The sequence below is a fragment of the Homo sapiens genome, chromosome 2, assembly GCF_000001405.40.
Source record: "Homo sapiens chromosome 2, GRCh38.p14 Primary Assembly".
Classification (NCBI taxonomy): domain Eukaryota; kingdom Metazoa; phylum Chordata; class Mammalia; order Primates; family Hominidae; genus Homo; species Homo sapiens.
The window spans coordinates 108,311,165-108,336,651 of NC_000002.12; the positions used below are offsets into that span (position 1 = coordinate 108,311,165).

General features: G+C 43.6%; 2 pseudogenes across 1 annotated transcript in view; both read left to right on the forward strand.

Annotated features, from left to right (window-relative positions):
* SULT1C2P2 (sulfotransferase family, cytosolic, 1C, member 2 pseudogene 2) lies at positions 6,561-7,447 on the forward strand (annotated as a pseudogene).
* SULT1C5P (sulfotransferase family 1C member 5, pseudogene) overlaps positions 11,074-25,487 on the forward strand; it is a 31,562-nt pseudogene continuing 17,148 nt past the window's right edge. Inside the window, exons 1-3 of the transcript NR_037191.1 lie at positions 11,074-11,297; positions 16,449-16,571; positions 18,255-18,352. The product of NR_037191.1 is annotated as a sulfotransferase family 1C member 5, pseudogene (transcript). The remainder of the gene's footprint in view (positions 11,298-16,448; positions 16,572-18,254; positions 18,353-25,487) is intronic.

Here is a 25,487-nt window from a genome sequence, read left to right on the forward strand (position 1 = left end):
AATGGCTTTGACCAAAGTGCTTATAATAATATGGACAATGAAATCCATGCTGAGGTGGTCTCAGATGGAGATGAGGAACTTGTTGGGAACTGGAGTAAAGGTGACCCTTGCTATGTTTTAGGAAAGAGAATGGTGTCATTTTTTCCACGCCCTAGAGATTTGTGGAACTTTGAACTTGAGGGAGATGATTTAGGGTATCTAGTGAAATAAATTTCTAAGCAGGAAAGCATTCAAGAGGTGACTTGGGTGCTGTTAAGAGCATTCCATTTTAAAAGGAAAACACAGCATAAAAGTTCAGAAAATTTGCAGCCTGACAATTCACTAGAAAAGAAAAACCCATTTTCTAGGGAGAATTTCAAACCAGCTACAGAAATTTGCGTAAATAACAAGGAGCCAAATCTTAATCACCAAGACAATGGGGAAAATATCTCCAGGCCATGTCAGAGACCTTCATGGCAGCCCCTCCCATCATAGGCCCAGAGGCCTAGGAGGAAAAGATGGTTCCATGGGCTGGGCCCAGGGCCTTCCCTGCTGTGTGCACCCTAGGGACTTGGTGTCCTGTATCTCAGCCACTCCGGCCATGGCTGAAAGAGGCCAACGTAGAGCTCAGGCCATGGCTTCAGAGGGTGCAAGCCCCAAGCCTTGGCAGCTTCCATGTGGCATTGAGCCTGCAGGTGCATGGAAGTCAATAACTGAGGTTTGGGAACCTCCACCTAGATTTCAGAGGATGTATGGAAATGCCTGGATGTCCAGGCAGAAGTTTGCTGCAGGGGAGGGCTCCTCATGGAGAACCACCTCTAGGCCAGTGCAGAAGAGAAATGTGGGGTTGAAGCCCCCACAAAGAGTCCCCACTGGGACACTGCCTAGTGGAACCATGAGAAGAGGGCCACCATCCTCCAGACCCTAGAATGGTAGGTCCACCGACAGCTTGCACAGTGCACCTGGAAAAACCACAGGAACTCAATGTCAGCCTGTGAAAGCAGCCTGGAGGGAGGCTGTACCCTGCAAAGCCAAAGGGGCAGAGCTGCCCAAGACCACGGGAACCCACCTCTTGCATCAGAGTGACCTGGATGTGAACATGTAGTCAAAGGAGACCATTTTGGAGCTTTAAGATTTGACTGCCCCACTGGATTTCAGACTTGCATGCAGCCTATAGCCCCTTTGTTTTAGCCAATTTCTCCAATTTGGAATGGCTATATTTACCCAATGCCTGTACCCCTACTGTAGCTAGGAAGTAACTAACTTGCTTTTGATTTTAAGGCTCATGGGTGAAAGGTACTTGCCTTGTCTCAGATGAGGCTTTGGACTATGGACTTTTGAGTTAATGCTGAAATGAGTTAAGACTTTGGGGAACTGTTGGGAAGGCATGATTGGTTTTGAAATGTGAGGACATGAGATATGGGAGGGGGCAGGGGAGGAATGATATGGTTTGGCTGTGTCCTCACATAAATCTCACCTTGAATTGTAGCTCCCATAATTCCCACGTGTTGGGGGGAGGGGACTGGTGGGAGATAATTGAATCATGGTGCAGTTCCCCCATACCATTCTCTTGGTAGTGAATATGCCTCATGAGATCTGATGATTTTATTAGGGGTTTCCCCTTTCAATTGGCTCTCATTTTCTCTTGTCTGCTGCCACGTAAGACATGCCTTTCACCTTCCACCATGCTTGTGAATCCTCCCGCCTCAGTTTCCCAAAGCACTGGGATTACAGGCATGAGCCACTGTGCCTGGTCTTTTTCATTTTAATTGCAGACACAGTTCTTTAGTACTTGCATGCTTGTGAGGCCTCCAAAGCCATGTGGAAATGTAAGTCCATTGAACTCTTTTCTTTATAATTTACCCAGTCTTGGGTATGTCTTTATCAGCAGCATGAAAATGGACTAATATAAAGATAGTTAAAAAAAAAAAAAAACATTCACTCCAGGGTCAGCTATGATCCCAAATGATAAAATGAGTTCTGACTTTTAATTGGTTGGTTGGTTGGTGGGTTGGTGGTTGGTTGGTTGATTGGTTGGTCCTGTTAAAGAAAAAATTATTCAATGACACTTATTAAAGCACAGTAGGGCAGATTTTAGTCAGGACCATCTCCATAGGTGTAGGGACCATGGCAATGGAGTCTGGCAGTGGAAGAGATTGTGTTCGACTCTTAATATAACGTGGGCAAGTGGGAATTTATAGCCATGCAGAAGGGTGGAGAAGGAGGGATAGAAAATCCCTAAGAGGAAACATCATCGGTAAGGAAAGGGATGGGTTCTGGCTACAGTGATCCAACAGGATTCTTGCTAAAGATAGGCCAGGGTGATTAGATATTACCTGGGTGGTGGTGGAGGATGAAGAACCTGATCAGATGTTGGGGGTAGGGAGTTCCTGCTATATTGACTTAATAGTTTTCTTGCAAAAACTGGATTTTTCAAAGAATTACACAGAGGGGTATAGGAGATATGTTAAGAACCTTACTAAAGTTTGGTCAAGAAAATAATCTTTGTCATTTGGTTTAAACTCTTTCTGCTTCCTTTTCTTCACTAGCTAGGACCTAAACATGCCGACTTTGAGGTTTAGTATTTCAAAGAGCTTTGAAGTTTAATGCTGTGAGATTACATGGGACTGTGAGTTTTTCAAACACCCACAAATCACATTTAAATTCAGGCTTCCAACAACCAGTAGAAACTACATGGCAACTGGAACACGTTAGAATCAGGGTCAAGAATGAAAAGCCACCATGATGGTAAAGCACAGTGTTTTGCAACTCGACCAGTTGTCCACAACTCAAGCAAGGAGGGACCAATCTAACAAGAACAGAGATGCAAGAAATAGAACTAGCCCCAGGAAATTCAGTATTCAAGCTAAGATGCAAAGAGCCCTAGCACACCCTCTCCCCACATATACCTGCACCATAAGTATGTACCAACAGCTAAAAAGAAATGATTTTATGTTTCTTTCCTCTTAAGAGTTACAGCCATTCTTCATTCAGTCATTCATTCATTCTCAATAGTACACGTACTATGTGCCAGGTACTGTGTGAATGATGGGGATACAGTGGTGAGCAAAGCCCTTCCCCTATGGATTTCATGGTCTAGCATGTGAAGCAAAAGTCCACTAAGTCGTGACACATGTCACCAACCGAGGAGAGTGCCATGTGAGATGGTTTCAGGCTTCGAGAGGCCAGAGCAGATCAGCTGAGACTGGGGCCTGAGGCACAGCTTTCCTGAGAGGACATGGTCCTTCCTAGGTGTGAAGCATGTGCTGGCTTTAACTAGGCAAGAGACTGGGCAGAGAGAAGGAGACCCAGGAGCAGGCTTGGTGAGGCGGGCCTGTCTCAGGGCAAGAAGGAAGGGCTATGAGGGGAAGAGCTACAAGCTCAGGGAGAACTGACAAAATGGGGCCCCAAAGAGAGCCGGGCATGTCACATGGGGCCTTGATGGTCATGGCAGAATGTTAGACTTTATCCTAGGAGCATCAGGAAGCCCCTGCAGGCTCCAAGATAGATGGTGAAACACTCAGACTACCATGTCAATATGTCTACTGTGTCTGTGCCATACACACAGCACAAGGGTGGGAGCCACACTGTTCCAGTTGAGAGGGCTGGGAATTGTTCATGGGTGTGGAGACTTCCAGGGTTAAGGGTTAAGGGAACCTCCTCCCTCAGCCTCTCACACCTGGTTACAAAAGCAGGAAGTAGAATTTCAGGTTGACCAGCAGGATACTCACTCCTTATTAAAAAAAAAAAAAAATTTAAGACAAAGTCTCACTCTGTTGCCCAGGCTGGAGTGTAGTGTCACAATCGTGGCTCACTGCAGCCTCAACCTCCTAGGTTCAAGCAATCCTCCCAGCTCAGCATCCTGAGTTGCTAGCACCACAGATGTGTACCATCATACCTGGCTAATTTTTATTTCTTACTCTTTGTAGAGACGGGGTCTCACTATGTTGCCCAGGCTGGTCTAAAACTCCTGGCCTCAAACAATCCTGCCACCTTGGTTTCCCAAAGCACTGGGATTACAGGCATGGGACACTGTGCCTGGTCTTTTTCATTTTAATTGCAGACACGGTTCTTTAGTGCCTAGTATACTCTTTAAGTACCACTGGAGATTCATGACAAGAGGAAGAGTAATAGGAAAAGATTAAGATGACCAAGCCTCAGATCAGCAAGCAAACTATCAGAGATTCACAGATCTCTCTGAAAAGAAAAATGTGGCCTGAGACATTTAACAGATTCTCTATCAGGAGTGTTTCTCATATGCAGCAATATATCTGACCCAAAGGACACAATTTAGTTAATGTCTTAATAATACAGAAGTAGACTCACCCAAGCAGGTTGCTGCAAGTCAGAGATCTCAGAGATTAGCCCAATGCTGGTCAGGTTGTCAAGTGTTTGTCAGAGTGACTGGTGTGGTATTCTCCACTCTGCCTGTGGCAGGCCAGGTCTCATTAACAGCTGAAGAGGCAGGCCTCCATAACAACTGTTTCAGCACTGACTGAGTGGTTAAATATTAAAAGCTGAAAGAACCAGTGCCCTTATACAAAGGCTGGAATGTAACAAAAGCCCACAAAGAGTTTTGCCTGGGCCTTTCCTGGGCCTTGACAGGAATGACAAATAATGAAGGAATTCTTAACAGGACCCATAAAGATTAAACAAGTTTTTATTGGGGGTCTAAAGAAACTCCCCAGACCTCCACAAACAAGTTTTATTGTGGGTCTAAAGGAACTCCATAAACCTCCATAATTTAGCAGGAGACAAGATAAGGGTAATTACCCTAGCACCTGGACCCATCTAGATTAAGTAAATTTACTGAGGCTCCAGAGGAAGGTCTTCTTCGAAACTCAGACCGTAACTATAGATTAGAAGACGTTAATCACTTATGTCTTTGGATGAATACACACTTAAATGTAAACATATAGCTTAGAAGGTATATAATCCCTGAAAAACTGTAATTTTGAGCTGATCTGGCAATATTTTCCAGGCCTTCTCCTTGTACCCAGTTACAGAATTAAACTCTCTTCTTTCCTAGTTCATCTGCATCTCGTTACTGGGCCGTGAGAATAAGCAGCCTGACCCTCGGTTTGGTCTGGGAACATGCCTAGTCAAGGGCATCAATAGGGTCACAGAATAGAGATTGGTCTGTGGCCATTCAGCCTTGCCCTTTCCTGCCTCTCTTCACCCAGCCACACCTTTCCCTCTCCTTCTTCCCACCTCTCCCACTCATCAAAGGACGAGCTGGCCAATCATTTCGAAACGGGGAATACTAAAAACACAGGGGAAGTGCAGATAACTTCTAGCATTTCCTGTCCCCTCAAGAGGATACTTAACATAGATTTTCAACAAAAGAATACCATGGCCTAACTATGTGAGGTATTAATGAAGGTCAATTTATAAAAAAGAAGGAGGAAAGCTGTGCTTGCTTTCTCAGCAGGGAAGCCTATGGACTGAGCCAGGTCTGAGTTCTGTGCGCAGGCTGCCTGGATCTAAACTAGGCGCTGTTAGCAGTGCGCTGCAGGAGTGAGACTGACCTCACCAACTGTGTAGGAGCTGGGTGAGGCCTCTCGCTACCGGCTATCCCCCACTCCCCCGACGAATTCTGCTGCACAGCAGAGAAAGCCATACTCCCCTCTGGATCATAATCCCATTAGCCTGAGAACCACCCCTGCATCCCCCACAGTGGCCGCGGCAAGCCCCGCCCAAAAGCTCAGACCCGCCTAACCCTGCCCCTAACCGATGGTATTTCTCTACTGGCCCTGGTAGCATAACACAAAAGACATAAACTCTTGGGAGCTTTATGGTCCCACCCATCAGCTGAGAACAAGAATACTTACCCTGGTCAACTTAGAGCAAGCTTATGTCCCACTACTACTACTGCAGCAGGAGCTCTCTTGCAAATTCCACCTCAGGGCTGGAAGCCATTCAACTCAGACCATTACAGCAACCCTTGGCAGAAAAACACTGCTGCCAGGAAGAAGAAAACAACAGCTAACACCACTGCCTGCAACACCCTGGTCCTGAGTCTGCCCACATGACAACTTCACTGCTAGCATAACCAACATTTGAGAAAGCCTGCACACTAAACGTATTCTACAGCCAAGGAATCTCAGAGTCTACATCACTTCCCTGCCACTTCCACCCCTGCAGGTGCTGGTATCCACTGCTGGGAGACCTCAATATGGGTCGCATCACGGGACTCTTTGTAGATATTCCCCAGCACCAGACAAGAGCCTGGTAGCCCCGCTGAGTGGCTAGACCCAGAAGAGCAGTAATAATCACTGAAGTCCAGCTCTCAGGGGAAGGGGGAGAACACCACATCAAGTGATCACCTCATGGGACAAAAGAATCTGCACAGCAGGCCTTGAGTTCCAGATCCTTCTGCTGGTGGGAAGTTTCTCACATCAGAGACACAGCTGCAGTGCTGGGCACAACAGGTAAAGTTTAGGTGAGCAAGATCAACAATATCACAAATACCGAGATGAAGAGAATTGAAATAACTTTTCCCAGATTTGTTTTCCTTGCTTTCCCTTGTTCTCTCCCCCAAATCCCCTAATGACTACTTGTTGCCCTTCCCCACTCAACAGAACCCAGAACATGAAGTTCAAAAGGATAATGGAATTTATGGGGAATAAACTAGATGAAGATCCTGTCAAAAGAATTGTTCAGCACACATCTTTTGAAAGTAAGAAGAAAAACCAGATGACCAACTATGTAATGATAACCTGTGACATCATGGACCACTCCATCTCCCCATTTATGAGGAAAGCTGCCTGCCAACCATCATGAATTTCCTTGAGAACCATATTATTACATAATTAGTATTTTGGGAAAGAATATTAATACGTTTTTTCCTTTTTATTCATTTTTTTAAAAGATAGAAACTCACTGTCACCCAGGATGGAGTGCAGTGGTGCAATCACAGCTCACTGCAACCTTCAATTCCTGTGTTAAAGCAATCCTCCCACCTCCAGCCTCCCAAGTAGCTGAGACCACAGGTACACACCACCATGCCCAGCTAAATTTTTTATTTTTTGTATAGACAGGGTCTCACTGTGTTGCCCAGGCTGGTCTTGAACTTCTGGGCTCAAGCAATTCTCCCACCTTGACCTCCAAAGTGCTTGGATTTCAGGCATGAGCCACCATGACGAGCCTTATTACCTTTTTAACTAACATGATGCTGCCAATAATTCTGAGGTTTTCTCAAAATATTAATACGTCTTTGAAAGAAAATAGACTGTGATGTGTACCTGTAATACGAATTCATACTTTTTAATTATCTCTAAAGTTTCACTTTATGGAAAAAGCATTCAGAATAGACTTCCCGTCCAATCTCTCAAGCACGATTGCATTGCTTTTCAGGGACCGTTGGAGAGTGGAAGGATTACTTCTCAGCAGCACAGAATAAGAGATTTGATGAAGACTAGGGAGGAAAATGGCTGACTCTTCTCTGACCTTCCACACGGAGCTCTAAAGAGAGAGAGACAAAGTCTATACTACACAGGGGCACTTTTATTACCTTGTCTTCCAGTTTTTATTCCCCTTGTCACTGCTTTTCCCTAGAAATGACTTCCTGAGCTTGCTCAAATTGTTCAGGCAAGAACTGTAAATTACCCTTTCCTCTCTGCATGCCCCCGGAAAATAAAATTGTTTTGTTAGCTAAGGAGCTGGGTTCAACATTCTTCACAAACTGACTGAATAGTTGTAACAGAAACTGTGGAACCTTGTCAAAAGTCTGGTGGTTCAGTCTCCAAACCAAAGTTTAGAGGTCCTGAGGCCACACTGAAAGTTTAGAGGTCCTGAGGTCAGCTGGCCACGTTCTTCCACCCGTCACCTGGGCCTGTCCTTCCCAGGAAGAGCATCTTCTCTGATGGGCGCTTGGCAGGAGAACCACCCGACAGCTTTGCTAAAGTTTTCTGAGAGCTAAACCAGTCTAAGACTTTGCCTACCCAGTCTTCCTTCCTTCCCTCTTTCCTGCCCTTCTCCACAAGGGTTACTACTACACCAGGCTCTGACAGCCCTGCTCATTTATCCCTCACAAGCGTTGTCCCTCAATAAATCTCTTACTCTTACTCTATCTCAGTGATAGGCCAAGCATCTGTCTATCACTGAAAAGGGAGCAATATTCTCCCTTTGTTAGAGTGACCATTATATTTATGATTTACTGTTAAATTCAGATGTGCAAATACTAGGTTGAGTCATGTGAAATTGGTATCAAAAAAGAAAGCAAACATTCAAGAATCACAGAGGCAGCAACTTCAGAAAGATGAGAATTACTGAAATAGGATCTTGGAGGAGGGGTGTGTGGAGAAAACCCTCGCCCCTGGGGAAGGAGCACAACTTGGCCAGGTCTCTGTCCCTGAGGACACTGTGAAGACGCTGACTCTGAAGTGATCTGCACACTGGACTCTGCTGCTGCTACAGGAAGTGAATTATCTCAGGGGTACCACTCGCTGGAGCAAGAAGGCAGCAAAGGGAGCGAGTCCCTACTCCTCCTCTTGTCTGTCAGTCTCCCTGTGAGCAGAGACTCAGAGAAGACACACCAGCTGGCCCAGTGGAAACACAGATGGCACAGTCCCAGCCCAGCATCTCAAAGAAAACCTGAGACACGTGAACTAGGACATGAGAGGCAATAACTTCATGAACAGGCCAGCCAATATCTGACCTTTTTAAGCTCAAAAATGGCCATTTCAAATAGTTCAACCTAATACGTGTGTTTGTGTGTAAATATAAATGTATATATGTAAATATAAAATATATTTTCATGTGAAAAAAAAAAAAAAAACCTAGGCCGGGCACAGTGGCTCATACCTGTAATCCCAGCATTTTGGGAGGCCGAGGCAGGTGGATCACCTGAGATCAGGAGTTCGAGACCAGCCTGTCCAACATGGTGAAACCTCGTCTCTACTAAAAATACAAAGTAAGCTGGGCGTGGTGGCGCATGCCTGTAATCCCAGCTACCCGGGAGGCTGAGGCAGGAGAATCGCTTGAATCTGGGAGGTGGAGGTTGCAGTGAGCCGAGATCGTGCCATTGCACTCCAGCCTGGGCAAAAAGAGTGAAACTCCATCTCAAAAAAAAATAAAAAATAAAAAATAAATAAAAATCTAAACTTACCTAAAATAAATAAATCAATAGACTTACTATTTTGGCAAACACTCCCTCTCCTCCTTCTGCTGGAGACTCCAGGTGGCAGGTCTTCTCTGAAGTCTCAAAGCCCCTGCAAGGGCTCTCAGGAGCAGCGGTAGTGACTGCAGCTGAGGCTGCGAGATGACTGAGAGTGGGATGCCACGGTGGCTATTGTGAGCTTGGTAGAATTCCCTCCATCTGACCAACTGAGGCAATGTTTCTCTGATGGCCTTTATAATGGTTTGTTTGAAATGTGTGGTTAATGCCAATGCCCAGCATGCCAGATGACACATTCTAGAAAGTAAATGAACAGTAGTATGAGCTCTAAAATCCCTTCAACATGACTGAGGGAAGCACCCTTGCTTGGGTTGAGTCAATCTAAATGCTGAGAGAAATCCTGGCAGAGGTGGTCCCTGGAAAAACCTGCCTCTCCAACACAGTGACAGGGCCCATTTGTTCAGTGGCCCATTGTTCAGCAGCCACTCACTTCAAACTGAGTGGAACTTACTGCGCCGATAAGGCACACACCTGGCTGAGCCAGCAGCTGAGTGACATAAATAAGGGGCTGCCAGTCCTCCCACACTACCAGGGAGCCAGAATCTCAGAATTAGAAAAAGCACTTAGAGATCATTCGGACAGGTGGTCAGGTAGCTCTTTTGATGTCATTAACTGAAGTGTCATTGTCTATGTATGGAGAAACTGGAAGTTTCTACTAAGGTTAAATATACCAATAATCCAGCAATTCAAATCATAGTCATACACCCAAGAGAACAAGAGAGAATGCATCTATCCCCCACCCCAAGAAAAAAGTGTGAAAATATCATAGAAGCTCTATTCATATTCATAATCACCAAAAACTGGTATCAACCTATATGTCCATCAAAAGAAGAATCGATTAAAAAATTCTGGTATATTCATTCAATGATACAGTATATAGCAATAGAAATAAATGAACTACTGATAGTTGCTGCTAATACTTGATGAATTTCAAATACATTATGTTGAAAGAACAAAGCCAGACACAAAGGAGTACATAATGTATGATTCCATTAATATGAGGTTTAAGAATAGGCAAAACTAAACTATGGTGACAAAAGTCAGAACAGCCTCTGCGTTGAGTGTGGGGCACTGGTGCAGCATTGACTGGGAAGGAGCATGAGGAAATTGTCCGAAGCAATGGGAATGTCCTATATCTTGATCTAGATGGTAGTTATGTGGGTGCATATAGAAGTATAAATTCATCAAGACATAAACTTACACTTTATGCATTTGTCTGCATGTAAACTGTGCTTCAATATAAAAAAAAAACTCATTGTAGTAATAGTCCTCAAATATTGCAGTCTAACCTCTCACAGAACAGAAACAGACCTGAGATTTAGGTAACTTTCTAAGTCAGTCTTGGAAGTTGAGATGGAATTCCCAGCTGGACTGTCCCAGCTGACAACATGTGCACCTAACATGGGCACCTAGCATGTGATATGTCAATAGAAGCGTGGGTCTCCCTGGGTCTGGGGAAGGTGTTTCTCCAAATCTCCATGGATAACCAAACCCAGAAGGGAGAATCACTTTCCTTTCTGTAGGGAGAGTAACTCCAGGTGAAGAGAAGGAAGAGGGAAGGGAATTCCTGGAGGCTTGCTCCAGGCATTCCTTCAATATTTTCTCTCAATTCCCCATCTCCATGGGCATCCACAGGACCAGGAAGTGACCTCCTGGACTTGGGCAGGCCCCTAGACTGGTGCCCCACTGCTGTTCTTCCTCCTGGCACTATGGAGGTGCAGCCCTGCCAGAATCTCACGAGTAGAAAGAGTAAGGCCTATTCTGGCACAATGCTTAAGATTTTGTTCCAGTTCTACCCAGGAGCCATGCAAATTGTGTCTTTGTTTGCCTGAACATATTTACCTGTAATGAATGACCAGAGCTCTGTGTCCAAAGCACTGAATACATAAAACCCGTGTGAATCTCAACTTTCATTTACTTTTTACTTTCCCCTGCTGGTGCCCAAGACCACCGTGGAAGGAATGGCTAAAGGATAAGGTGGAGGAGACAAGTGAGTTAGAATGGGGCTTGTTACCCCCAGAAGAATTTTCCCAAGTGAATGGAATCATTCTTCAAAAGAAAATGTGCGATTTCTGGGATAAGATCTGGAACTTCCAAGCCAAGCCTGATGACCTGCTCATTGCTTCTTACCCCAAAGCAGGTATGTACACGGACATGAGAAGAGGGAAGTAGAAGTTGGAGCATGTATCAGCACCTTATGGGGTCATGTAGTAAAGTCAAAGAGCAGAGGAAGGAAGTGTCCTTGTCTATAAATCAGACAGAATGGCAAAGGATCTAAGATTCTTCTATAAAACTATAGGGATTTTTTTTAGAGATAGAGTAGTTGGTATATCAAAAACATATAACTAGTCAAAGCAGATTCTTCAGGTTAAAAAAATCCATGTTATTCATTTTTTTCTTTCATTCAACAATTACCTATCAAGAATCTTCTAAATGCCAGAGACTGGCACCAAGCATAGTGATCGGTAAAATGTTTGTTATCTTTGTCCTGCAGGGATTTACAGTACAGTCTAGAGAAGAATATTAAACCATTAAACAAATCATTTCACAGAATTTTGATTACCTGTGATAAGATCTTAGAAAGAAATGTAGAGGGTGTAATGAGAGAACATTGGGGGTCCTAATTTAGATTAAGGAATTAGTACTCTGAAATTCTGAGCTACTGGGATTATTACATAGGGAATGTATTATCCGTTTGCTGTGGCTATGAAACAAAGTACCACCAGCTCAGTGGCTTAAAAAATAGATATTTATTGTCTCACAGTTTGGGAGGCCAGAAGTCCAAAATCAAGGTACCAACAGACTTGGTTTCTTTCGAGGGCTGTGAGGAAAGGCACTGTTCCAGGCCTCTCTCTTTGGCAGGTATATGGCATCTTGATATTCACATTGCACTCTCCATGTGTGCACATCTACCTCCAAATTCTGCCTTTTTATATAGACATCAGTCATACTGGGTTAGAGCCATCCTAATGACATCATTTCTATTTGATTACCTCTACAAAGACTCTATCTCCAAATAAGGTCACATTCTGTGGTACTGTGGATTAGAACTTCAACATATTAATTTTGGGGTCACACAAGTTAGCCCATAACAGGGAGCATGGAGAGGAACGTTTCCATATGCAGACAGGAGCAGTAGGACTTACTGACAGATGATAAATGTGGGGTGAGAGAAAGAGAGGAGACAAGCTTTGGGGCTGGAATGATCAGGTGGATGCCAGCCCCAAGAACTGACTCAGGGAAGTCCAGAGAGGACCAGGTCTGAGAGGGGCCAGGGCATCTATTAGGCAGTTGAATGCATTGAAGGGGGTCAAAAATGGACTGGGGAACACAAGATGCGTGTGTTGCCATTTCCAGATGAGAAAGAAAGTAGCTTGGACTAAGGAGGTGAGAGTGCAAATGAAGAGTGAGAGAAAAATTGAGATGTATTTTGGAGGTAAAATTACTTGAGATCCAAGAAGAAGTGATGACTCGTGGGTGACTCTCTTCCGGCTTTATCAACTGAGTGGCCTCTTGTGCTGGGATGGGAAGGCCTGGGAGAGGGAGAGGCATGGAGCTTATGCAGGAGGTGGGCGGGTTAAACTACAGCTCAGTTTGGGACATGTTAAGTTTGAGGTGACCTTTAGACCACTAAGTGTTGACGTCAGGGGGGCTGTCAGAAGTAGAGCACAGAGGGAAGCCCACTCTGGCTGAAGATATAACTGGAGTTGCTATAGATAGTGAAATCTCAGGTTAAATGCCCTACGGCAGAGCCTGAGGCAAGGATTCAGGTACATGTGATTTATTGGAAGGGTGCTCTTTAGGAAAAAAAAAAAAACAGTAAGGGTATGTATAGGAGTATAAGATAGGGGAGAGGAAGGGGCCAAGTAAAGATGTGGCATTGGGTAAAGCCTTGCCCTGATGTGGTTAGGGCAGGAGGGGAAGGAGTAGAAGGATGGAGACTTTCTCCATTAGGAGCCTCCCTTCAGAGGAGGACACTTCTCTAGCAAAGCCGGTAGCTGAGAGACATGAGCGGCCAACACTCACAGCCGTGGAGGAGGTGAGGGGGTGCAAGAGGCTGGTACAGGGGATCTGAGGAAGCCACCAACAGTGTCTACTAAAGATGCTGCTCAAAGCAATGGGAATGAATGAAATCACATAGGAAGAAAGCATAGAGGAAAAAGAAGGCACAGGACCAAACCCCAAGAAGCTTTCTCACTTAGACGGTGGACAGAGAAGAAGCCAGAAGTGGGTAGTGTCCTGGTAACCAGTGGAGTGAATCTTCAAGCCAGAAACATCTGAACTGAGTGCCTGTTTTGATCGAATTAATCAGATGGCCGTCAGATGGACACTGCACTTGGTACTTGTAAACAGCCCCAGTCACAGCCTGGAATGACTACTGGGTTTTCTTTCCTCAAGTTGTCAGTTCTATCAACACAGATTCTATTTGACTCTCCTAGAGGCAGGATTTTCCCTGCCTAGAGGCAAGTTTCCCCTGAAAACTTGAACTGCCTTTTTTACAAAGCAAGTCAAGTTATCCAGGGTCACACTCTTAGTAACTTCTCTCTAGGATAACACTTATCAATGTGGAAGAAGAAATACTATGCTACAAGTGGGAAGTAATTATGAAAAGAGAACTTCATTTGAATGAGAAGTTTATCTCCTTGGGACTCATGAGAACTGAGAATTTTCCCAGCTCAAATCCAGAAAATGAGAAAGAACATTTTTTCTGAGACTAGCTACAGGGCATGACAGATACTTGAGACATGCAGGAAACAGCTGACCTGATGCTGTGGTGACTTCATCATTTATCCTCCAAACTAAGTCATCTGATATAGAAAGATATACTGTTAATAATTAATCTGGGACAACAGAATCAAGCTGTATTGCCCTGGGTAAGTTGGAAGGTTACAGTGACCCTATAAAACACAAGCCATCCCAGATGCTAGGTTCCAGGCCCGATCTACTACTTACCTAAGTCAGCCTGTCATAATCTGAAATCATGATCCTCACTCCCAAACCAGCTCCTTTTCTTCCCAGGAAGCAGATTCTGAGTTGAAGGTAAGTATGTGAGATGTTTATTAGGGAGTGCTCCTGGGATCACTCCCTCTGGAAGTGAAGGGAAGAAAGCAGGATTGTCCAGAGGGAGAAGTTGAGCTTCAACTCAGTCCCAGCAAAAAGCCTCCTATGGGATGATCTGAAGCTTGGATGGCCCTGCAAAGTTGGTTCCATCCCAGTTGGGGAGAGGGGAACAGAGTGTCAGCGAGTCCCTGGATGGAAGATGTCCCAGGAAGGGACCTGGAGAGGGCTGAATAGCTGGGGGTCATCTGCCAGCAGCATCCCCAGCAGCTGATGGAATAAACACTTCCGTTCAGAAGCAAAATCTGGGCTGTACATCCAGCACCTTTTATAATATCCATGAATAGCTGTAGAGCACAGCCCTTGCCACAGCTTGCCTGAGCCATGCCATGGCTTTCTGAGTTGCCATTCAGGTCAACATCTGTGTCTGGAATTGCCACCTTGTTGGTGGAGTCCATGGAAAAGCAGCCATCAGCCTGTGCTGGAAACCAGGCCATAGTGGTGACTGAGAAGCATAATCTAGTGGAACTCAGCTCCCCAGGGCAAGAGGGAGGCAGTTACTAGTGAGTACGACTCATGATGCAAGGTGCCCTGTCAGCAGGCTGAGTTGGGAGCAAATCTGGAATGTGAGGTAAGAAGGTCTGGCAGAAGCCCTTGCACAGTGTGGGCCAAACAGGAATAGGGTCAGGGGCCACTGAGGGAGCCCAGGTTTCCTGAGATGGTCACAGCATCTACGACAGCAGAGCCAATTACAAAGGTGGAGTCTGGAGGTAGAGGCACCCATGACTTCCTGTGAGAGGCTGCAGGCAAGCAAGGCCCAAATTCCATGCTCAGAGTTGAGAGGAAAAAGCAGAGCTAGCCTATGTGGAGAAGGGCTCTCTGGAACTGCCAAAGCAGTGTGGACTGGGAATTAGGACAGCACATCATCAGGAGGCAACAAAGGTTCGAAGACGAAGCCAGTGCTGACCCCAGAAGGGCAGAAAGAGAAATTGGTTTTAGTACAGAGTAGGAACTGACCAGGAGCTGAGCAGCTGGCACAAGGGCATAGTCTAGAGGCGGAGCCAGAGCCATGGCACTGCACCCAGGTACCTCTATCAGGGTACTAGGGAAAGGAGACCAGGATCACAGAAAACTGGTATGGGGGAGCCACGATGAGAATGGCACCTTCTTCCCCAGGGCTTCCCCGAGCACAGTGGTCCCATCTGTTCTAGCTCTGGCCCTCGGGATGTACACCAACACCGTCAAAACATGAAGACAGCTACCATTTCTTTAGTGCCTATGACAAGCTGGATTCTGCCCATTTTCTCTTCCAACTCTCAAAACCACATGAGAATCATTAATATACATCAGGTTTACATAATTCATCCGAAACCACCCAATGCATACATCATATATAGGAGTCGAGTCCATTTGATTCCACAGCCCCACACACATCCAATCCATGCTTCCCCACAGAAAAACAGGACCAGGTCAGCCAAGCGTCCCAGAAGCCAAACAAGGATGCACTTTCTGAGGACAGACACTGCAGAAGCCAGAGCCCAGTCCAAGGAAGCCCCAGAATCAGGAAGGAGATCGCAGACAAGACCATGAAGAGAAACAAATTTTACCCTCAAATGCAGCAAAGGTCATTTTTTCATTTATAAGGAGTTCACCTTTCTTGTAGAAGCCACTGTTTAACTTTTCTTTGCCTTTGAAAGAGGAATTCATTCAATCTCATTTTTTCAGTTTGTGGATTATTTGAAATTCTTACTTTTCCTTCTTTTTCTTATTATGGACATTGTGTCAGTTCCTCGGTTCTAAAAAATAAAAATAAAAAATAAAAAAATAAAAGTAATCCAAGGAAGAAAAACTAGACTACTTATTAGCAGCCAGAGCTTTTAATGGGAAAAGCTGGGGTTTGGGAATTTCTGTGATTTTCTCCAAATGGAAACTTTTTAAATAATCCCTGTTGTTACATATAATAGTTATTTGTATTATCGTTTTATAGAAATACCAATGCATATTCAGATTTTTTAAGTACATCATTGGAGTACAAAAATAAAGAAGTCACATTTCTACCCTTAACCTTTCTGGTGAGGAAAAGATTATCTTAATAGTTGGTTTTAATTCAATGTTGTAAGCAACATAAGTGAGGTATTAACAGGCAAATTAATTTTTTATAGCATGTTTCTAAATTCTAAGTTGCGAAAAGTCAATAATCAGTTTCTCAGATCTTTATTCTACTCTCTTTCAGGAACCACTTGGACACAGGAAATTGTAGATCTGATACAAAATGATGGCGATATTGAGAAAAGCAGGCGCGCTTCCATTCAACTTCAACACCCTTTCCTGGAGTGGATAAGAATGACACACTGTGGTAAGTCTTCCATTTACAAACCCACAGTCCTTGCATAAAGATGAGCAATTCAAGAGTAGACAGTCTGAAAGTCAAACATATTCTGGTGGGGAAAAACTCCCTTTAATCCCTAATTCTAAGTACTGGATGAAAAATAACTTTTCCTGTGCAAATCTAGATAGATCCTTTCGCCTAACGTATTTCGCTTCAACACTTAACAATAGAGAGGTACAATCTCTCAATTAAACAAAGTGTTCAACCAGTTACAAGTGCCAAGCGTTAGCTACACAGTTCTCACCCAGCAGAGTCCCTGCTTGTTCATGTGGCACCCCAGTGTCAGTGCCAAAGACGTCTGGCACCAAGGACCACAGATTCAAATTTGGGATGCACCATGCACTTCCCATGAAAGATAATAAGTGTCATAGTCATAGCTAAGACTTTCACAGCACATACCAGGTATCAGGCATTATTCTTTTTTTACATATGTATACTTTAAGTTCTGGGGTACGTGTGCAGAACGTGCAGGTTTGTTACGTAGGTATACACATGCCATGGTGATTTGCTGCACCCATCAACCCGTCATCTACATTAGGTATTTCTCCTAATGCTATCCCTCCCCTATCCCCCACCCCCCGACAGACCCCAGTGTGTGATGTTCCCCTCCCTGTGTCCATGTGTTCTCATTGTTCAACTCCCACTTATGAGTGAGAATATGTGGTGTTTGGTTTTCTGTTCTTGTGTTAGTTTGATGAGAATGATGGTTTCTAGCTTCATCCATGTCCCTGCAAAGGACATGAACTCGTCCTTTTTTATGGCTGCATAGTATTCCATGGTGTATGTGTGCCACATTTTCTTTATCCAGTCTATCTTTGATGGGCATTTAAATGGCTGGCATTATTCTAAATACTTTTCACATGTTAACTCACTTATTCTTCACAACTTGTGAGGTAGCTGCCAGGTTATATGTGAAGAAATTGAGATACAGAGGGATTATGATTCTGAAGGTCCACAATTAATAGGTAGCAGAGCCAAGATTTGGACCCAGGAATTCTGTTTCCTAAGTTCATGCTCTCAACCACTAAGCTATGCAGTGTGCGTGAATGTGTGTGTGTCTCCTATATGGACTCTGGCTATACGTATCTGAGGGATACAGTGGAATTAAATAGTCCATGTTGGACCAGCATTGGTACCTGGTCATCTTTATTTAGGCCATCTGTGGACACATCTTTGAGAGTCCTCAAGACCTCTAAAACAATTGCTTAATTATGATTTTATTTTCATAGTAATCAAAAAATATATAAAGTAAACACATTCTGGGTCACCTGGATGATCACCATGTAATCTAAATTCTGCCAATGTGGTCTCATTGCCCTCATTTGCATTGGTGCCAACAATCCCTTGTTGCCAAGTGGAACTGTGGTAATTTCTAAAGGCTAATGGGATGAGCAATGGAGAGGACACTTAACAGTAAATAATATACCAAATGAAGGCCAATGTAGCAAAAAATCAGAGGTATGAAAGGAAATACAAAGTGCTAAGTACTAAAAGAAAATAGGGAGAAATGGTTTCTTATCATCTAGGAGTGAAGAAGGCATAACATGGCACAAAACCCGGAAGCCATTAGGAAAAAAACTGATAAGATCAACCGCATAAAAATTAAAACTTTTTTAAAAATTAAAGAATAAGCCAGGAAAATTTTTGCAGGGATTGACCAGGCTAACACAATGCCTTCCCCAAGGACCCTGAAAACTCATCTTCCTGTACAACTACTGCCTCCATCCTTCTGGGAGGAAAACTGTAAGGTAAGCTTAAAACAGAAAATGTTCAGAGACAAATTTTCCTCATGAGAACATAGGGAGCAGCTTATTGTGTCATAACCATTGCCCAGCCATCCCTACGTTGTGTCTACCAGGAACAGATTATGGAAGCTACTATCATCTTCCATGTTCTTAATCTCTCAATGATAAGGATGTGCTTAGCATACATCTATATCAAGAAGAAGGAGAGAATAAACATATACTAGGCTCATTTCTGAGCATCTTAGCCCCTTAACAATGCTATAAGGTAGAGGTACGTGAGCATATTGTAGCTCAGGGTGTTAAATAATTTGTCCAATGACAAAGACATGGAAGGTGGAAGAGATGGGCTGCAAATCCACCTCTTCATTACCCAACAGCCCATGCTCTTTCTGTTACTCTATACCACCTACTCTATGCCTCCTATAACCACAGAAGTCTTCCAAAGCTTCTTGGTAGTTGGCCTCCTGCCAATATTAAGGTAATGAGTATTTAAATGATCAGAAAGTGCCACTGAAGGAATCTTAAAAACTATATGCTCTACTATCCTCTCGCTTTATCTCACTTGTAGCTAAACTGTCTCTTGCAGACATCTAAAGGTGCCTACAAGCTGCAAGCCCTAGTCATTCTGAGACCTGATGAAAGTCAAATTTTTGTAAACATCAGATTTATTTTCCATATTGAAGCCTACAGGAGTGCAGATGCATTTTCATGTATGTCTTAAATTGGTCACTAAGGAATTTTTTTTAACTTTTTCAGAGCCCCAAGAGACCACTTATTGCCTTTCAATCTAAAAAAGTGCTCCTCTACAGGGAGGGTCTATAAATGGGCCTTGGCACTAAGCCAAAGCAGTCCCCACCCTCCCTTCCATGTGGCATTCTGTTCCCTCTGTCAGCTTGCCAAGATCCACACCTTTACTGTTTCTGGTTCTCTAGAGTACATCCAGGGTCTTACTCACTCTACCTTACTGACCCTAGTGGATCTTCCGATGTAGATCTGGAGTCTGGGGGCAGGGGTGGCTGAATGACTGAAAGCAAATGGAAATATATTGTTAGTACAAATAGAGCCAGGCCTGGGCTAGGAGGGTCAGTAAAATAAGAATAACTATAACAGCAATCTAGCAAGTACCAAAAGCATGCTCAGGTACCTCCACCTTATAGCATTATTAAGAGGCTAAGAGGCTCAGAACTGAACCTAGCAGATGTTGGTTCTCTCTTCTTGAAGTAGGTATACTGAGCCCATCCTTATCAATGAGAGATTAAGAACCAGGAAAGGTGTCATGGGAGCAGAAAGTGGGGAGTACGAAACTTCTTGAAAAGGAGAGTCAACAAAAGTGACAGAGGAGTCAGGGCATAAAGAACAGACATAAATTTGTCAAGTGATAAGAGAGGGAAGGACATTCCATGTTACTGAAAGAGCAAAAGCCAAGACTTAAGAAAATAGGTCCAACGCCGGAAAAGAAGCATGAGAGGTGGGAAGGAGCCAGAGATGCCCTGTTGCACAGCCTTGCCTGCTAAGATGTTTGGACTTAACCTGTAGGCTACTTGGATCCCACTGAAGAACGTGAAATGAACCAGGAAGTGACATGATCCCATTTACATTTTAGAAAGTTCCCCAGGGGGATGTGGTGGTGGGGAGGGGTGAACAGAACTGGCGCAAGACTGAAAACAGGATATCAGTGAGGAGATGGTGGCAATCGTCCAGGAAAAGAATTTAAAAGGCTTGGGTTAAGGCAGAGGCAGTGAGAAAATGAATTCCAAATGTACACAACAGACAGAATTTACAAGATCTCTCAAGGACCTGCTATGGAAGACATGGAAAAAGAAACATCTTGTATGATTTTGTCACTGTAACTATTGATCATGGTACCATTAATGGAAAGAGATCATAAAAGAGGAGCAGCTAGTTTGTGTGAAGACGAATTGAATTTTGAACCCATCGAGTCTAAAATGCATGCAGAACATTCAGGTAGGGACACAGATACATGAGTCTCTAGCTCGGGAGACAGACATGTACTAGAAACAAATTCGTAAGTCATAAACATATGAAATTTATCGCAATAGAAAGATAACAAAAAAAAAACAGGAAAAGCAAATATAGTGAAAATAAAAGTAGGCCCCAGGCAGAGCACTAAAGAAGGCCAACATTTAAAGATTTCAAACTTTTAGTGATCGTAAACCCCATCGAGAATCTACAGAAAGTTGTGACTCCACTCCTGACAAAGTAATACATCTATAAAAAATTTTGCATATACTTTTAGAGAGAGGGACAGACCTCTTGAAGGTCATCATTTCAAGACACCCTGATTTAAGAGTAGAGTGGCAGAGCAGGACACACTAAAGAAGGAGAATCAGAAACATTATAGGACAGCCATGAAATCAGCACTACCACAGAAGAAGGGAAGTTAAGTGTGATCAGGGAAGGGTAAGCAAAGGGAATCAGAGGGCGAGATTACACAGACCCTGAACACCAGGTTGAGAACTTTGAACTTAATCGTAAGAACAAGGTACAGAAATTGACAAGTTTTACACAGGGAAGCAACATCATCTGATTTGCATTTTTACAAGATCATTCTGGCTGCTGGATGATGAGTGGAAGAGAACAAAGATGCATTCATGACCTTTAGCACAAGGTTACCAGAACACATATGCTGTGCACACTGAATGCCCGATTTCTAACTTGTTCTATCATTTATTTTGTTTCCTCTCACCACTTTAGATAATCTATGTGGCAAGAAATGCCAAGGATAACCTGGTGTCCTACTACCATTTTCAAAGGATGAGCAAAGCACTCCCTGACCTTTGGGAAGCTGGGATAAGTACTTTGAAACATTCCTGGCAGGCAATGGTGAGCCAAGTGCATGAAACCAGCCTTCACCTATGTCTGCAGAGGATAAGCTTTCCCCATCAAATTCTCCTTGGGAAACAAAATTCATCCGTAGAAGGGGCTCAGATTTTCTTGGAGGGAAGGACTAGAGACAACATCCTGAGAGATGTGGCTAGCCCTGGCTGTCATCTGTGGTCAGTGGATTTGCTTCCAATTGCAATATATCCTCTGAATGAAGTCAAACCAGTATTATAGGCAAGCCAGCTATAAGAGAAGGTCCCAACTCTAAGCCTATGTTAAATGTTTTACATGCATTAACTTGTTTAATCTTTAGAGCAACCCTATAAGCTTGGTAACAATATTCATCATTTGTAGGTGATGAACTGAGGCTCAGTGAGTTTGAGTAACTTGCCTACATTACCCTGCTAGCGAGAGCAGGGCTAGAATTTGAACATAGGCAGGTTTAGTTAAGCTCAAACCCTGTGTGCTTGGCGGTTGAAGTCTTACCAATTGCCTGCATGTTCAACTGGAAAGAAAGAAAAGGTTTAGTGTGTATGCAAGTTTTTCAGTCATTACCATCATTTGAATTGGTGGTGCAGTGGTGGCTCCTGACACTGTAGGTTCACAAACTATCATGTGCAAAAATGTATGATCTTTCAGTCAGGCTTCCAGTGTCAAAACTGAGTCTTCACAAGTTTCTTGACGTTTTTCTAAGTCTCAAATGCTGCTATATCTTTTAATACATCAACTGTTCTCCTAAAGAAGCCTAAAGAGTACTAAAAGTACTAAAAGGTGATGAGATTATTAAAACTGGATGATTGGTTCATGGAAATTCATTACACTATTTCCTCTATCCTTGTATATATTGTATATAAATCAGAGAGCTGAGAGGATAGTTCCAAATCCTTGCCCTGCATCAGGCAAGTTGAGCACCAGAGAAGAGAAGCACTGAAGTCAAACAAAGCCTTAGGGCTGCTCCTCTACACACACACACACACACACACACACACACACACACACACACAGAGGAACTCCTGAAGAATATTTTCATAATAAAAAGATTTCTCAAAAGTTTTTTAAAAAATGGTAATTTAAGCAAGCTTTTACAAGGTTATACATTTGGGGAAGTACAATATAAATATAATATCAAATTGGTTTGCACGATGAAGTTGAATTGACAGCTTTGCATGATTAAAACCTAAATATTTGCACCAAAGCACTTTATTATTCAAGGTAAAAATTTATAACTGAAACAATTATTTATATAGTCCTATGGAGAAACAACTGCCTTGTCTCCTATATTTAAGTTTTTTTCCTCTAAAATAATTATAAATAAATGTAAGAAAGTAGTCCTTCCCATTAGTAACAAACCACCAGTAATGCATGAAAATATGATACCTTTGATTGCCATTTGACTTTCATAATTTTAAATAACAAAAATTATTATTATTATTATAGTCTTCTCCTTATGAGATACACTCTGAAAATGATCCATTGTACCCCAAGGTATTTTCACTGGTTGAATGTCTCTAGTAAATTTCATTGTAGGTGTTCTAACAATGATGTCAGAATGTCTTTGGACAAAGAGTGATCCCTAAGAAAGTGACCTTGTTGACAGGTTGAGACACTGGGCTTGTGCAGGGCCAGGACTGGGCTGATGTAGATGGCTGTTCCTAAATCAGAGAGCTGAGAGGATAGTTCCAACTCCTTGCCCTGCATCAGGCAAGTTGTGCACCAGAGAAGAGAAGCACTGAAGTCAAACAAAGCCTTAGGGCTACTCCTCTACACACACACACACACACACACACACACTCCTGAAGATGCACCTTCAGGGCCAATGGCATGGAACATGGGTAGAAGGAATCAAGAATAAGAAGTAGAACAATAGCAGCTCCCCCTATTTATGAGGGTCTTAGTACCAGTGCCATGCTGAGGCATTTCACCCAGCTGGAGTAGCACAAGTGCTTTCTGCCAAAGTGCAGATAGACTGGCCCTATGTCTCGGTCATCTACCCATACAGCTTGCCCTGACCTAAGCAGTTTCCTGCAGCATAGGGTTCTCAGTAATTAAACTGACACAGCCCTAGACAGAATAGAATGGCTGGTCACCCTATGACTACGCTGCATGCCAAAAGAGAGAAAAGGGTTGAATAGCTACTCCCTAATGATTGGAAGCTATCACTGGGAGTGGGCTGAAGTGCTCTTAGACATCCTAGTATCAAAGAGACTTTCAGACACATCCTACCTAATCTTTACGCTGTGTAAATGAAACATAAGAAGGGCAAATTTTGGCAGAAGGGATAATAGAAGAAAGGGGAAAAATATTACTGAATTTTTAAGTTAAATTTTTAAATGACTTTTGTTGAATAGCTACTATGTGTCAGACACTTACTATTATACTGTGTCCTAGGCACTACCAGACTATTGCTTTCATATGTCTTAGCATTGGCCCATGCTATTATTTCTCCCACCTTAAAATAAAATAACATTTAAAAACCACTCTGTTGACCCTACCTCCCCAACCCCAGTTACCTCCCCCATCTTTCCTTCCGTTTACTACAAACACCTTGTGGCACTGGCTTACACTATTATCTTCAATTTCTCTCCCAACACCACCAAACCTGTCCTGCCAGGGTCATCATGACTTCCACATCACTAAACCCAATGATCAATCCTCTGTCCTCATCTCATTTAAGCCATCAACGTCATCTAACGCAATTGGTCACACTCTCTCTTCCTTGAAATGATTTCCTTATTGGCTCCCAGGACCCCTCCCTCCCCTGACATTCCTCCTATGTCTCTGTTCCTTCCCAGTCTCCTTTGCTGGTTTCTCTTTATCTCCTAGATGTCTGCAGTTGGCTCCTTTCTCTCTTCTACCCACATCATTCCTTGGTCAATATCACTCACTTTGTGGTTTCAGATGTCACCTATCTGCTGATGACTCCAAGATTTGCACTAGTCCTGGCCTTGGCCCTGGGCTCCTGGTGCATAGACCCAGCTGCCTTACCAGCGTCTCTACCTGGATGTTTACAGGGCATCTTAGACTTCATGTGTCCAAATCTTAACTCCTGACTTTCCTCCAAAACCTGCTTTTCCTTCAGCCTCTGCTTCTTGTTAATTGTGACTGTCCCTTAAATTACTCAGGCCTAAAATCTTGATCTTATCTTGAGCCTCTTTGTTTCTCATATACCCCATCCAGCCCATGAGAAAATCTATCAACCCCATCTTCAAACTCCATCCAGAATCTCACCAATCCTCACACTTCTGGAAGTGTGATTAGATTACACACTTCCGGAAGTGCGAGGATTGGTCAGATTCTGGACTTAGTTTGGGCCAAACTATCATCAGATTTTTGCTGCATGAACGAAACAGCCTCTGCCCCAACTTTTGCCCTTGCCAACCTACACTCTACTCTCAGCAGAGAAACCAGAGAGATTCTACTAAAAGGGAAGTCAGACCATGCAACTCCTCTGCCGGAAGCCAATGACTGGGATCCCATCTCACTCAGAGTAAAGTCAGAGTACTTAGGGCATCTCACAGGTCCACAGGACCAGGCCTCACACTTCTTACATCTCTCCCCACTCCCCTGGCCTCACTCACTCTGTCCTGGTCCCACAGGCACACCCAGAACCTCCTATCCAATGCCTCCCCTGGCTGTACCCTCTGCCCAGCAGGGCTCCTCCTTTCCCTTTTTTCAGGGTTGTGCTCAATAATCCCTTCTCAGAGATCCCTTCTTCTGACCAGCCTCCTATGTAACCTCAACATTTTCCCTCTCTTTCCCTGGTTTATTTGTTCTGCTAAGCACACACTGTGTTCTTACGAACACAGTGAAATAGCATCCTGCATATTTCACATCTATCTCATTTGTCTCCCCCATAAAATGTACTTCCAAGAGCAGGGCTTTCTGCCTGTCTTGTGTGCACTGCTCTATCCCCAATACCTAGGACAGTGCTGAGCACACAGTAGATGTTACAGAATACATTTATACAAATATTACCAAATCCAGCAGCACATCAAAAAGCTTATCCACCATGATCAAGTGGGCTTCATCCCTGGGATGCAAGGCTGGTTCAATATACGCAAATCAATAAACGTAATCCAGCATATCAACAGAACCAAAGACAAAAACCACGTGATTATCTCAACAGATGCAGAAAAGGCCTTTGACAAAATTCAACAACCCTTCATGCTAAAAACTCTCAATAAATTAGGCATTGATGGGACATATCTCAAAATAATAAGAGCTATCTATGACAAACCCACAGCCAATATCATACTGAATGGGCAAAAACTGGAAGCATTCCCTTTGAAAACTG